The 14,408-nt window shown below is 37.3% G+C and overlaps 1 protein-coding gene and 1 pseudogene across 18 annotated transcripts in view; one reads left to right on the top strand and one right to left on the bottom strand.

Annotated features, from left to right (window-relative positions):
* FAAH2 (fatty acid amide hydrolase 2) overlaps window positions 1-14,408 on the bottom strand; it is a 367,606-nt gene that overhangs the window by 93,344 nt on the left and 259,854 nt on the right. The window contains exon 8 of one of the 18 annotated variants that reach the window (XM_017029294.3): window positions 272-2,904. The exons of 14 other annotated variants lie outside the window; for them this stretch is intronic. In XM_017029294.3, coding sequence (XP_016884783.1) covers window positions 2,851-2,904 — 54 coding nt within the window. In that variant the 3' untranslated portion in view covers window positions 272-2,850. Of the gene's footprint in view, window positions 1-271; window positions 2,905-4,850; window positions 5,499-6,378; window positions 14,305-14,408 lie in introns of those variants that run through there. 3 more of the 18 variants (XM_017029293.3, XM_005261986.5, XM_047441863.1) reach the window with 3 other exon arrangements.
* MTHFD1P1 (methylenetetrahydrofolate dehydrogenase (NADP+ dependent) 1 pseudogene 1) lies at window positions 401-3,460 on the top strand (annotated as a pseudogene).

Raw genomic sequence — 14,408 nt, 5'->3', positions numbered from 1 at the left:
AGTATCACCTGATACAAATATTATGCAAGGAAAGAATAAAAAAACCTTACAAGCTAACATACCTGGTGCATACTGATGCATAAATCCACAATAAAATATTAGCAAATTTAAACAAACAGTACATCAAGCCATGTGGGTTTGATACCAGAGATTCAAGGATGGTTCAACATATGCAAATCAATAATGTAATTAACCACATAAACAGAATAAAAAACAAACACTACATGATCATCTCAATTGATGAAGAAAAACGACTTGATAAAATCCAACATTTCTTCACAACCAACTAGGCATTTAATATACATACCTCAAATTAATAAAAGCCATCTATGACAAACCCATAGCCAACATCATACTGAATGAGGATAAGGTTAAAGCATTCCTCCTAAGAACTGAACAGGATATTGGTGGTGTCCATCGTGGGCAGCAGACTAATAAAGGCCATGGCACCAGCAGAAATCCTGAACAGGAAGGAGATCTCCGCACAAATAAGGGCGAGACTGAAGAATCAAGTCACTCAGTTGAAGGACAAGTACCTGGTTTCACACCAGGCCTGGCAATATTACAGGTTGGCAACAGAGATGATTCCAATCTTTATATAATGTGAAGCTGAAGGCTGCTGAAGAGATTGGGATGAAAGCCACTGACATTAAGTTACCAAGAACAACCACAGAATCTGAGGTGATCAAGTACATCATATCTTTGAATGAAGACTCTACTGTACACGGGTTCGTAGTGCAGCTATCTCTAGACTCAGACAATACACTGAAGGAGTGATCAATGCTATTGCACCTGAAAAGGATGTGGATGGATTGACTAGCATCAGTGCTGGGAAACTTGCTAGAGGTGACCTAAATGACTGTTTCATTCCTTGTATGCCTAAAGGATGCTTGGAACTCATGAAAGAGACAGGGGTGCAGATTGCCAGAAGGCATGCTGTGGTGGTTGGGTGCAGTAAAATAGTCAGGGCCCTGATGCGTGACTTGCTTCTGTGGAACAATGCCACAGTGACCACCTGCCACTCCAAGACTGCCAATCTGGATGAGGAGGTAAATAAAGGCGACATCCTGGTGGTTGCAACTGGTCGGCCTGAAATGGTTAAAGGGGAATGGATCAAACCTAGCAATAGTCATCAACTGTGGAATCAATTATGTCCCAGATGATAAAAAAAACAAATGGGAGAAAAGTTGTGGGTGATGTGGCATACGACGAGGCCCGTTCCTGGTGGCTTAGGGCTCATGACGGTTGCAATGCTCATGCAGAGCACTGTAGAGAGTGCCAAGCGTTTCCTGGAGAAATTTAAGCCAGGAAAGTGGATGATTCAGTATAACAACCTTAACCTCAAGACACCTGTTCCAAGTGACATTGATATATCACGATCTTGTAAACCGAAGCCCATTGGTAAGCTGGCTTGAGTAATTGGTCTGCTGTCTGAAGAGGTAGAATTATATGGTGAAACAAAGGCCAAAGTTCTGCTGTCAGCACTAGAACGCCTGAAGCACCAGCCTGTTGGGAAATATCAGGTGGTGACTGGAATAACTCCAACACCCCTGGGAGAAGGGAAAAGCACGACTACAATCGGGCTGGTGCAAGCCCTTCTTGCCCATCTTTACCAGAACTTTTTTATGTGTGTGCGACAGCCTTCTCAGGGCCCCACCTTTGGAATAAAAGGTGGTGTTGCAGGAGGCGGCTACTCCCAGGTCATTCCTATGGAAGAGTTTAATCTTCACCTCACAGGTGACATCCATGCCATCACTGTATCTAATAACCTTGTTGCTGCGGCTATTGATGCTCAGATATTTCATGAACTGACCCAGACAGACAAGGCTACCTTTACTCATTTGGTGCCATCAGTAAATGGAGTGAGAAAGTTCTCTGATATCCACATACAAAGGTTAAACAGACTAGGCATTGACAAGACTGACTCTACCACACTGACAGATGAAGAGATAAACAGATTTGCAAGATTGGACATTGATCCAGAAACCATAGCTTGGCAAAGAGTGTTGAATACCAATGATAGATTCCTGAGGAAGATCACGATTGGACAGGCTCCAACGAAGAAAAGTCACACACAGACGGTCCACTTTGATATCTCTGTGGCCAGTGAAATTATGGCTGTCCTGGCTCTCACCACTTCTCTAGAAGACAGGAGAGAGAGACTGGGCAAAATGGTGGTGGCATCCAGTAAGAAAGGAGACCCCGTCAGTGCTGAAGATCTGGGGGTGAGTGGTGCATTGATAGTGCTTATGAAGGACACAATCAAGCCCAATCTCATGCAGAGATTGGAGGGCACTCCAGTGTTTGTCCATGCAGGCCCATTTGCCATCATCGCACACGGCAATTCCTCTATCATTGCAGACCGGATCACACTCTAGCTTGTTGGCCCAGAAGGGTTTGTAGTGACGGAGGCGGGATTTGGAGCAGACATTGGAATAGAAAAGTTTCTTAACATCAAATCCCAGTATTCCGGTCTCCACCCTCACGTGGTGGTGCTTGTTGCCACTGTCAGCGCTCTAAAGATGCACAGGGGTGGCCCTATGGTCACTGCTGGAATGCCTCTTCCCAAGGCTTACATAGAGGAGAACCTGGAGCTGGTTGAAAAAGGCTTCAGTAACTTGAAGAAACAAACTGAAAATGCCAGAATGTTTGGAATTCCAGTAGTAGTGGCCGTGAATGCATTCAAGACAGATACAGAGACTGAGCTGGACCTCATCGGCTGCCTTTCCAGAGAACAGAGGGCTTTTGATGCCGTGAAGTGCACTCACTGGCAGAAGGGGGCAAGGGTACCTTAGCCCTGGCTCAGGCTGTCCAGAGAGCAGGACAAGCACCCAGCAGCTTCCAACTCCTTTATGACCTCAAGCTCCCAGTTGAGGATAAAATCAGGATCATTGCACAGAAGATCTATGGAGCAGACAACATTGAATTACTCCTCAAAGCTCAACACAAAGCTGAAGTCTACACAAAGCAGGGCTTTGGGAATCTCCCCATCTGCATGGCCAAAACACACTTGTCCTTGTCTCACAACCCAGAGCGAAAAGGTGTCCCTACAGGATTCATTCTGCCCATTCGCAACATCCATGCCAGCATCGGGGCTGGTTTTCTGTACCCTTTAGTAGGAACGATGAGCACAATGGACTCCCCACCCAGCCCTGTTTTTATGATACTGATTTGGACCCTGAAACAGAACAGGTGAATGGATCATTCTAAACAGATCATCATCCATCTTCAAGAAGCTACTTTGAAAATCTGGCCAGTGTCTATTCAGGCCCACTGGGAGTTAGGAAGTATAAGGCAGCCAAGAGTCAGCCCCTGCCCAGAAGATCTGAAACTAATAGTAGGAGTTTTCCCGGATGTCATTTTCAGCCTTAATTCTCATCGTGTATAAATTAACATAAATCATGCACATGTCTATTTACGTTAGTGACGTTCCACAGAATAAAAGGAAATAGTTTTGCCAAAAACAAAAAACAAACAAACAAAAAAAACAAGAACTGAAAAAAGACAAGGATCTCCACTCTCACCACTCCTATTCAACATAGTACTGGCAGTTCTAGCCAGAGGAAAGGGATCCAAATTTAAAAAGAAGTAGTCATGTTATCTCTGCTTGCTGATGACATACCTAGAAAACCTAGACTTTACATAAAATTCCTATATTTGATAAACAATTTTGGTAAAGTTTCAGGATACCAAATCAATGTAAATAAAGTCAGTAGCATTTCGATACACCAATAGCATTAAACCTAAGAAACAAATAAAAAATTCCATCCCATTTACACTAGCCATTTACAAAAATAAAATACTAGAAATATGTTTAACCAAGGAGGTTAAAGATCACTATAAGGAGAAATACAAAACACTGATATAATAAATCATAGATGCCAGAAATAGAAAAAGATCTTATGCTCATGGACTGGAAGTATCACTAGTTAAAACGACCATACTGCCAAGAGCAATCTACAGACTAAACATAACTCCTATCATTACAAAGATAATTTTTCACAGAATTAGAAAAAAAATCCTAGAATACATATAAAACAAAAAAAGAGCCTGAAGAGCCAAATAAATTTTTCATAAAAAGAAAAAAGAGGCCCCACATTATCTGACTTCAAAATATACTAAAAAACTATAGTAACAAAGACTGTATGGTAATGGTAAAAAAATGGAGACATAGAATGGAACCAAATAGAGAATCAAGAAATAAAGCCACATACCTATAAAAAACTGAACTTTGACAAAGTTGACAAAAATAAACAGTGAAGAAAGGATATGAAATATTGCTTTACTGAATAGCAATAAAGAGTTCTGGCAAAATTGGCTAGCCATATTCAGAATAATGAAACTGGACCCCTCTCTCTCACCATATACAAAAATGAACTCAAGTTTCATTTATGACTTAAATGTAAGACCTCAAACAAGAAAAATCCTAAGAAAAAAAAATAGAAAAAACTTCTGACATTGAGGGAAATAATTTATGACTAAGACCTCAAAAGCAAATGCAACGAAAACAAAAGTACACAAATGGAACATAAACTATTTTAGCTTCTGTACAGCAAAGGAAATAATCAACAGAGCAAAAAGACAAACTACAGAAGAGAAGAAAATATTTGCAAATTATGCCTCTGAAAATGGTCTAATATCCACAGTCTACAAGAAACCAAAACAAATCAACAAAAAAAACCCCATTAAAAAGTGAGCAAAAAACATGAATAGACATTTCTTAAAATAAGACATGCAATTAGCTACAAAAAAAAATTATGAAAAGGTGCTCAACATCACTAGTCATCAGAGAAATGTAAATTAAAACCACAATGAGATACCATCTTACACCAGTCAGAATGGCTATTTTTTAAGGTAAAAAATAACAGTTGTTGGCGAGAATGCAGAAAAAAAGGAATGCTTATACACTGTTGGCATATTGTAAAGTAGTAAAATTTCTGTGGAAAACAGTATGGAGGTTTCTCAAAGAACCAAAATAAAGCTACCATTCAGCACTGCATTTCCACTCCTGACTATCTAACCAAAAGAAAAAAATTATTATATCAAAAAGACACCTAAACTTGTGTGTTGTGTTTATTGCAACACTATTTACAATAGCAGTCATGGAATAAACCTAAGTTTTTATCAATGGTTGACTGGATAAAGAAATGTGATATATAAACACCACAGAATACTATACGGCCATAAAAAATGAAAGCATGCCCTTTGCAACCACGTGGATTTAGCTTGAGGCCATTATCCTAAGTTAAACAACTCAGAAACAGAAAGTCTGTTTCTCACTTATAAGTGGAAACTAAACAATGGATACACTTGGACAAGTAGGCAGAAATAATTGACACTGGCAACTCAAAAATATGGAAGGGTGGGAGGTAGATGAGGGCTGAAAAATTACCTGTGGGATAAAATGTTCACTGTTTGCATGACTGGTACACTAGAAGCCCAAACTTCACCATTACACAATATATCCATTTAACAACATGCACAAGTACCCTTTCAATCTAAAATAATAAAAAATAAAGTACAATAAATATAAGACTTGACTGTGAAATTCCTAGAGGAAAATAGAGAGAAAAAGCTCCGTGACATTGGTCTTGGCAATTGTTTTTTGCATGTATCTCCGAAAGCACAGGCTAATAAAGCAAAAATAGACAAATTGGTTTAGAGCAAACTAAAAAGTATTTTCACACAAAGAAAACAATATAAAATACAAAGGCAACCTACTGAATGGGATAAAACATTTGTAAAACATATATTTGATATAGGATTAATATTCAAAATATACAAGGAATTCATAGAACTTATCAGAAACAAATAACTTAATTGAAAAATTGGCAAACAACCTGAATAGACATTTCTTCAAAGGAGACATGCAACTGGCCCCTAGGTATATGAAAAAAAAAAATCAACAACACTAATCATCAGGTGAATGCACACCAAAGCCAAGATGAGATGTCACCTCCCACCCAATAGCATAGCTATTATTTTTTTTTAAAGGTAAGTGTTGGTGAGGACAGGGAGAAAAGGGAAACCTTGTACACTGTGGTAGAAATGTAAATTTGTACAGCCATTCAAAACATTAAAAATAGAACTACCATATGATCCAGCAATGCTACGTCTAGTAATATATTTGAAGTAATTCAAATCAGGATCTCTAAGAAGTAACTGCAATCCCATGTTCTCTGCAGTATTATATATAATTGCTAAGATATTAAAACATCCTAAGTGTGTGTTGATGGATGGATAAAGAAAATGCTGTATATACATGCACTGGAATATTATTCAGCCTTAAAAGTATAGAAAATTTTGCAATTTTCAACAATATAGATGGACCTGAAGGGCATTATGTTAAGTGAAATAAACCAGACACAGAAAAACAAATGTTTTATAATATCATTTATTTATGTAATCTAAAAAAGTCAAATTCCTAGAAGTAGAGAGTAGAATCGTAGTTGCCAGGAATTGGGGTGGGGTAAGGGGATGAAATAAAGCTATATTGGTCAGAGGGTACAAACTTTCATTTGTATTAGTCATTATATATTATATATGTATATATATATATGTGTGTGTGTGTGTAGGTGTGTGTGTGTGTGCGTGTGTATGTGTGTGTGTAAGGGTACTAAAATTAGGGTACTCCAGAGAAGCAGAAGGAATTTCTTCTGCTTCTCTGGAGTACCATAACAAACCCACTTTGGAAGACAATCTCAAGATTTCTAACAAAGCAAAGTATATTGTGTTCCTTGGTACTACCTAATTGAATAGAAAACATGTCTATGGAAAAGGTGCACATAAATGATTATAACAGCTTTTGTTCAAAGATAACAATATTTTGAAACAACCAAGATGTCCTTTACTAGGTAAATAGGTAAAAAATGGTGGCACATCCTTAAAATGAAATATTATTCAGAGATAAAAAGAGTTACCAAGCCACGAAAAGACATGGAGGGAACTTAAATGCGTATTTCAATGTGAAAGAAGCAAGTATAAAACGGTTACATAATTTAGATTCTAAATATATGATATTAGGGGAAAGGCAAAAGTATAAAGACAGTAAAAAATCTGTGGTTTCCAGTAGGAGTGGAGAGAATGTATGAATAAATAAGTGATGCACAGAAGTTTTTTGAGTGGTAAAAACTACTATTCTGTATGATATTGTAATGATAGTTACATGGCATTATGCATTTGTCAAATGCTGTAAAACTGTACAATATAAACACTAATGTAAACTATGGAGTTTAGTTAATAATATATCAATATTGTTTCATCAGTCATGAAACATGTACCCTACTAGTGAAAGAAAGAGGGGCTACCCATGGACACTGTACTATCTGCTCAATCTTTTGGTAAATATATAACTGTTCTAAAAATAAAATCTGCTAATAAAAAAATCCAACAGCACACAAGGCCTTGGCATATTTTTCTACAAAATAGGTAAAAGTAAGGTGTTGCTAGGAAATATAGAAATGATAAAAAGACCTGGATTATAAAATATCCCCCACAAAGTTTGATGTCCTAACTCCTTTCCTTTTATTCTGACTTAGAAAGAATTACAGACCAACATCAGTTAGCAACTATTGAGTTTCTGCTACAAAATCAAAAAAGCTCCCTCTTTATATTGAACCTGAAAGTGGATAAAGTTCAAATTGCTATATAAAGTTATTAACTTTAGAGAAATATTTAAATGTATTATGCCATATTAAAATTCTGGAATACTAAATCCTTAATATTTTTATTCTCCTGAGTCAAAAGTTTTCATTTCTTCTTGGCTATTTATTCTGACAGGAGAACCTTAACATCATTTTCTCAACTTCCATAATAAAAGTTGCTAATTTGATTTTAATTGCTATAAAATATAGCCATCCTGTCCTAAAACATGGTATTTTTCTGACAATAGCTTGGGAATGGTGGAGGTGGCACACATCCTTACCCCACCTCCAATGATGTAATAATGTCTTTCTCTATTTACCTCCTCCCTCCTCAGATACACACATCACTCATTCTCATGTTCCTCCACTTCCTCCTTTTCAGAAAATATACAGAAACAAAGATACATAAATTAATTTATGCAATGACAGATTATAGAACAGCAGGCCTGTTGGTGTTTCAGAAATGCATTTATCACTGTGATGGAATTTTGGAGTGTGCCTAGGAACTTTATAAAATGGAATGATATTTGTAATCCCAGTGACAGGGATTATATAGGCTATGGGATCTATCCACCAACAACTCAAGCTATAAAACTAAGTTTCTTTTTTTATTCAAAACTCATTTTAGGACTCTTAGTAAAGTTCTGTAATTTTTCTCTGGTAGGTTCTACAACCTTATTTTTAGAGTCTGTAGGCATTTTGTAGGATTTTCTGTTTGTCTTCTCTGTTTTCCTCATTCTACTTTTTATCTGGTTATTGCTGATATGTTAGCTATGGTTTTTCTCATTTTCATCGTACATCCTATTTTAGGTTGAACTCATTTATTCTAAGAGTTTTAAAATAGCACTCCTTGAGTTTTACAAGAATATACTCATATCTTAATCTATAAATAATTATTGATTTGTCTTTTTTCATAGTCATACCTCTTATTTCTAATTTATCCTTGGCATACTTTCTATAAATAATAATGGTGATGGTTAGCATGCTTATCTAACTTTATATTTTAAAGAGATTGCCCTGGATTTCATGCATATAATATAAAAAGAACATAGTATGGCAAAAAATAATTTTTAATCAGAAACAGACATCTGAATTTTATAAAATGCTTTCTGGAAAAATATTTAGGTTATAAAATTTCTCTTATGGAACCAACTTGTAAAGCATACAACAGTAGTATAGATCCTTGTATTCCATACACCAATCTTCACTAGAGCCTGTTCTAAACTTATCCAATATGAAATGAAACTCCTAAATGAATTCACATGTATTTCAATCTGTCTCTTTTTTAGCATGTGACTATTTTAAACTATTATTTCAAACTAAACTATTCTGTGATAGCTCTCCCTGCTACCTGATGCCAACAGGTGATGAGGTCTGCAACACTGTCACTTCTGACACTGCAGAGAAAGTTTCAATAACAGTGAGACTCTTGATTAGTATCAACAGTGAAAAAACCCATTTAGGAAAATTGGCTTTTCATACACATGAATTTCAGGCCAGCAAAAATATGGTTTTAATACCGTAAAGGGAAGGGTTTGGGGTCAGAATATTAAATTGGCTAGAGAATTTGGTAATGAAGAGTCTGTACATTAAGTTATTAGAATTTTTGCTAAAGCTACAGAACAGGAAGGGAGGTAATTCTACTGTGAGAGCAAATTACATTGGACTAAAAGTTCAATGTAAGTAATTTACTTCCATTCACTTACTTTTTTCCTCCTGCTCCTGGCTTCATAATTTTGCATTTATCCTCCAGCTCGCCAGGAAAGTACCAATTTGCTTTGCCACTAGCATTCTATGGTTTATCAACCCAAGCAACGAAGGTATAGTACCTTAATTTTTCTATAGTTTTTCCTTTAATTACTTATAAGTCTTAACATTTCTTGTGTTTTTATTGTTCACTTATATAACTTCTTTTATAATTTACCTTTCTCCTTTACCTATGTCCCTGGTGGTATTTCTCTTATAATAGGTTATAGCCTGTTAATAATCCTCTATCATTTTTATTGGCAGTATTTTCTATGATTTCTTTCATTTAGATATTATTAATTCAGATATGTGAAGCTATCTTAATACACGTAAAAATTAATATAGGAAGAAATTCTGTTTCTGGGCTTATAACTTATGAAGATCTCACTTTTCTTTTATCCTCATTAAGCATTACAAAAAGAAATTTAAAAATCCACTGAGTTTTTATATGAATTACATTTTCCCTATAGATTTAAAAATAACGTATAATTTTATAACATGACTTTCAAATCTAGTAACACAGTAATGTATCCACTTATGCTATTTTTTTTTTTTTTTAACGGAGTCTCACTCTGTCGCCCAGGCTGGAGTGCAGTGGTGCGATCTTCACTCACTGCAAGCTCCGCCTCCCGGGTTGACGCCATTCTCCTGCCTCAGCCTCCCGAGTAGCTGGGACTACAGGCGCCCGCCACCGCGCCCGGCTAATTTTTTGTATTTTGTTTAGTAGAGACGGGATTTCACCGTGTTAGCCAGGATGGCCTGGATGTCCTGACCTATGGTTTGAATAGATCGCCTCCAAAATTCAGGTGTTGCTAATGCATTATTATTAAGAGGGGGGCCCTAAAGAAGTGATTAGGCCATGAGGGCTGCCCTAGTTAATGCCATTACAGCCATTTTTACAAAGGCTTTATGCAGCCTTAGCAGCTGTCTCTTCCACCCTTCTGCCATGTTTCTCCCCTCTGGAGAAGGCAGTAAGATGGCCCTCACCAGACACTGAACCTGCCAGAACCTTGATCTTGGACTTTCCTGTCTTCAGGTGTGTGAGAAATAAATTTTTATTCTTTATAAGTTATTGAGTCACAGGCATTTTTTCATGGTGGCAGAAAACAAAGATAGAATATAAAAGCCATCTTTTACCACAATCAAGTTTCTTCTAGTTTTACATGTCTTTTTTTTTTTTTTTTATTATACTTTAAGTCTTAGGGTACATGTGCACAACATGCAGGTTTGTTACATATGTATACATGTGCCATGTTGGTGTGCTGCACCCATTAACTCATCATTCACATTAGGTATATCTCCTAATGCTATCCTTCCCCACTCCCCCCACCCCACAACAGGCCCTGGTGTGTGATGTTCCCCTTCCTGTGTCCAAGTATTCTCATTGTACAATTCCCACCTATGAGTGAAAACATGCGGTATTTGGTTTTCTGTCCTTGTGATAGTTTGCTGAGAATAATGGTTTCCAGCTTCATCCATGTCCCTACAAATGACATGAACTCATCATTTTTTCTGGCTGCATAGTATTCCATGGTGTATATGTGCCACATTTTCTTAATCCAGTCTATCATTGTTGGACATTTGGGTTGGTTCCAAGTCTTTGCTATTGTGAATAGCATGTGTCTTTATGGGTATATACCCACTAATGGGATGGCTGGGTCAAATGGTATTTCTAGTTCTAGATCCCTGAGGAATCCCCACACTAACTTCCACAATGGTTGAACTAGTTTACAGTCTCACCAACAGTGTAAAAGTGTTCCTATTTCTCCACATCCTCTCCAGCACCTGTTGTTTCCTGACTTTTTAATGATTGCCATTCTAACTGGTGTGAGATGGTATCTCATTGTGGTTTTGATTTGCATTTCTCTGATGGCCAGTGATGATGAGTATTTTTTCATGTGTCTTTTGGCTGCATAAATGTCTTCTTTTGAGAAGTGTCTGTTCATATCCTTTGCCCACTTTTTGATGGGGTTGTTTGTTTTTTTCTTGTAAATTTGTTTGAGTTCATTGTAGATTCTGGATGTTAGCTCTTTGTCAGATGAGTAGATTGCAAAAATTTTCTCCCATTCTGTAGGTTGCCTGTTCACTCTGATGGTAGTTTCTTTTGCTGTGCAGAAGCTCTTGAGTTTAATTAGATCCCATTTGTCAATTTTGGCTTTTGTTGCCATTGCTTTTGGTGTTTTAGACATGAAGTTCTTGCCCATGCCTATGTCCTGAATGGTATTGCCTAGGTTTTCTTCTAGGGTTTTTATGGTTTTAGGTCTAACATTTAAGTCTTTAATCCATCTTGAATTAATTTTTGTATAAGGTGTAAGGAAGGGATCCAGTTTCAGCTTTCTACATATGGCTAGCCAGTTTTCCCAGCACCATTTGTTAAATAGGGAATTGTTTCCCCATTTCTTGTTTTTGTCAGGCTTGTCAAAGATCAGATAGCTGTAGATGTGTGGCATTATTTCTGAGGGCTCTGTTCTGTTCCATTGGGCTATATCTCTGTTTTGGTACCAGTACCATGCTGTTTTGGTTACTGTAGTCTTCCAGTATAGTTTGAAGTCAGGTAGCATGATGCCTCCAGCTTTGTTCTTTTGGTTTAGGATTGACTTGGCAATGTGGGCTCTTTTTTGGTTCCATATGAACTTCAAAGTAGCTTTTTCCAATTCTGTGAAGAAAGTCATTGGTAGCTTGATAGGGATGGCATTGAATCTATAAATTACCTTGGGCAGTATGACCATTTTCATGATATTGATTTTTCCTATCCATGAGCATGGAATGTTCTTCCAGTTGTTTGTATCCTCTTTTATTTCATTGAGCAGTAATTTGTAGTTCTCCTTGAAGAGGTCCTTCACATCCCTTGCAAGTTGGATTCCCAGGTATTTTATTCTCTTTGAAGCAATTGTGAATGGGAGTTCACTCATGATTTGGTTCTCTGTTTCTGTTACTGGTGTATAAGAATGCTTGTGATTTTTGCACATTGATTTTGTATCCTGAGTCTTTGCTGAAGTTGCTTCTCAGCTTAAGGAGATTTTGGGCTGAGAAGATGGAGTTTTCTAGATATACAATCATGTCATCAGCAAACAGGGACAATTTGACTTCCTCTTTTCTAGTTGAAAACCCTTTATTTCCTTCTGCTGCCTGATTTCCCTGACCAGAACTTCCAACACTATGTTGCATAGGAGTGGTGAGAGACAGCATCGCTGTCTTGTGCCAGTTTTCAAAGGGAATGCTTCCAGTTTTTGCCATTCAGTATGATATTGGCTGTGGGTTTGTCATAGATAGCTCTTATTATTTTGAGCTACGTCCCATCAATACCTAATTTATTGAGAGCTTTTAGCTTGAAGTGTTGTTAAATTTTGTCAAAGGCCTTTTCTGCATCTATTGAGATAATCATGTGGTTTTTGTCTTTGGTTCTGTTTATATGCTGGATTACGTTTATTGATTTGCGTATGTTAAACCAGCCTTGCATCCCAGGGATGAAGCCCACTTGATCATGGTGGATAAGCTTTTTGATGTGTTGCTTGATTCGGTTTGGCAGTATTTTATTTAGGATTTTTGCATCGATGTTCATCAGGGTTATTGGCCTAAAATTCTCTTTCTTGGTTGTGTCTCTGCCAGGCTTTGGTATCAGGATGATGCTGGCCTCATAAAATGAGTTAGGGAGGATTCCCTCTTTTTCTATTGATTGGAATAGTTTCAGAAGGAATGGTACCAGCTCCTCCTTGTACCTCTGGTAGAATTTGGCTGTGAATCTGTCTGCTCCTGGACTTTTTTTGGTTGCTAGGCTATTAATTATGGCCTCAGTTTCAGAGCCTGTTATTGGTCTATTCAGAGATTCAACTTCTTCCTGGTTTAGTCTTGGGAGGGTGTATGTGTCCAGGAATTTATCCATTTCTTCTAGATTTTCTAGTTTATTTGCATAGAGATGTTTATAGTATTCTGTGATGGTAGTTTGTACTTCTGTGGGATTGGTGGTGATATCCCCTTCATAATTTTTTATTGCGTCTATTTGATTCTTCTCTCTTTCCTTCTTTATTAGTCTTGCCAGCGGTCTCTCAATTTTGTTGATCTTGTCAAAAAACCAGCATCTGGATTCATTGATTTTATGAAGGGTTTTTTATGTCTCTATCTCCTTCAGTTCTTCTCTGATCTTAGTTATTTCTTGCCTTCTGCTAGCTTTTGAATGTGTTTGCTCTTGCTTCTCTAGTTCTTTTAATTGTGATGTTAGAGTGCCAATTTTAGATCATTCCTGCTTTCTCTTGTGGGCATTTAGTGCTAAAAATTTCCCTCTACACATTGCTTTAAATGTGTCCCAGAGATTCTGGTATGTTGTGTCTTTGTTCTCGTTGGTTTCAAAGAACATCTTTTTTTCTGCCTTCATTTCGTTATGTACCCAGTAGTGATTCAGGAGCAGGTTGTTCAGTTTCCATGTAGTTAAGCGGTTTTGAGCGAGTTTCTTAATCCTGAGTTCTAGTTTGTTTGCACTATGGTCTGAGAGACAGTTTGTTATAATTTCTGTTCTTTTACGTTTGCTGAGGAGTGCTTTACATCCAACTATGTGGTCAATTTTGGAATAGGTGTGGTTTGGTGCTGAGAAGAATGTACATTCTGTTGATTTGGGGTGGAGAGTTCTGTAGATGTCTATTAGGTCTGCTTGGTGCAGAGCTGAATTCAATTCCTGGATATCCTTGCTAATTTTCTGTCTCATTGATCTGTCTAATGTTGACAGTGGCGTGTTAAAGTCTCCCATTATTATTGTGTGGGAGTCTGTCTCTTTGTAGGTCTCTAAGGACTTGCTTTATGAATCTGGGTGCTCCTGTATTGGGTGCATATATATTTAGGGTAGTTAGCTCTTCTTGTTGAATTGATCCCTTTACCATTATGTAAGGGCCTTCTTTGTCTTCCATTGCTTCCACGTAATAAGCTGTATTATTATTACATTGAATAGTAGTTTAAAAATTACTTTTAAAATTTGGTAGGTCTGTTCCCCTTATTATTCTTCTTTCCCAAATGAACTCTTGCTTTTAA

Source organism: Homo sapiens, chromosome X (genome assembly GCF_000001405.40).
Source record: "Homo sapiens chromosome X, GRCh38.p14 Primary Assembly".
Classification (NCBI taxonomy): domain Eukaryota; kingdom Metazoa; phylum Chordata; class Mammalia; order Primates; family Hominidae; genus Homo; species Homo sapiens.
This window is presented reverse-complemented; position numbering and strand designations above follow the sequence as displayed.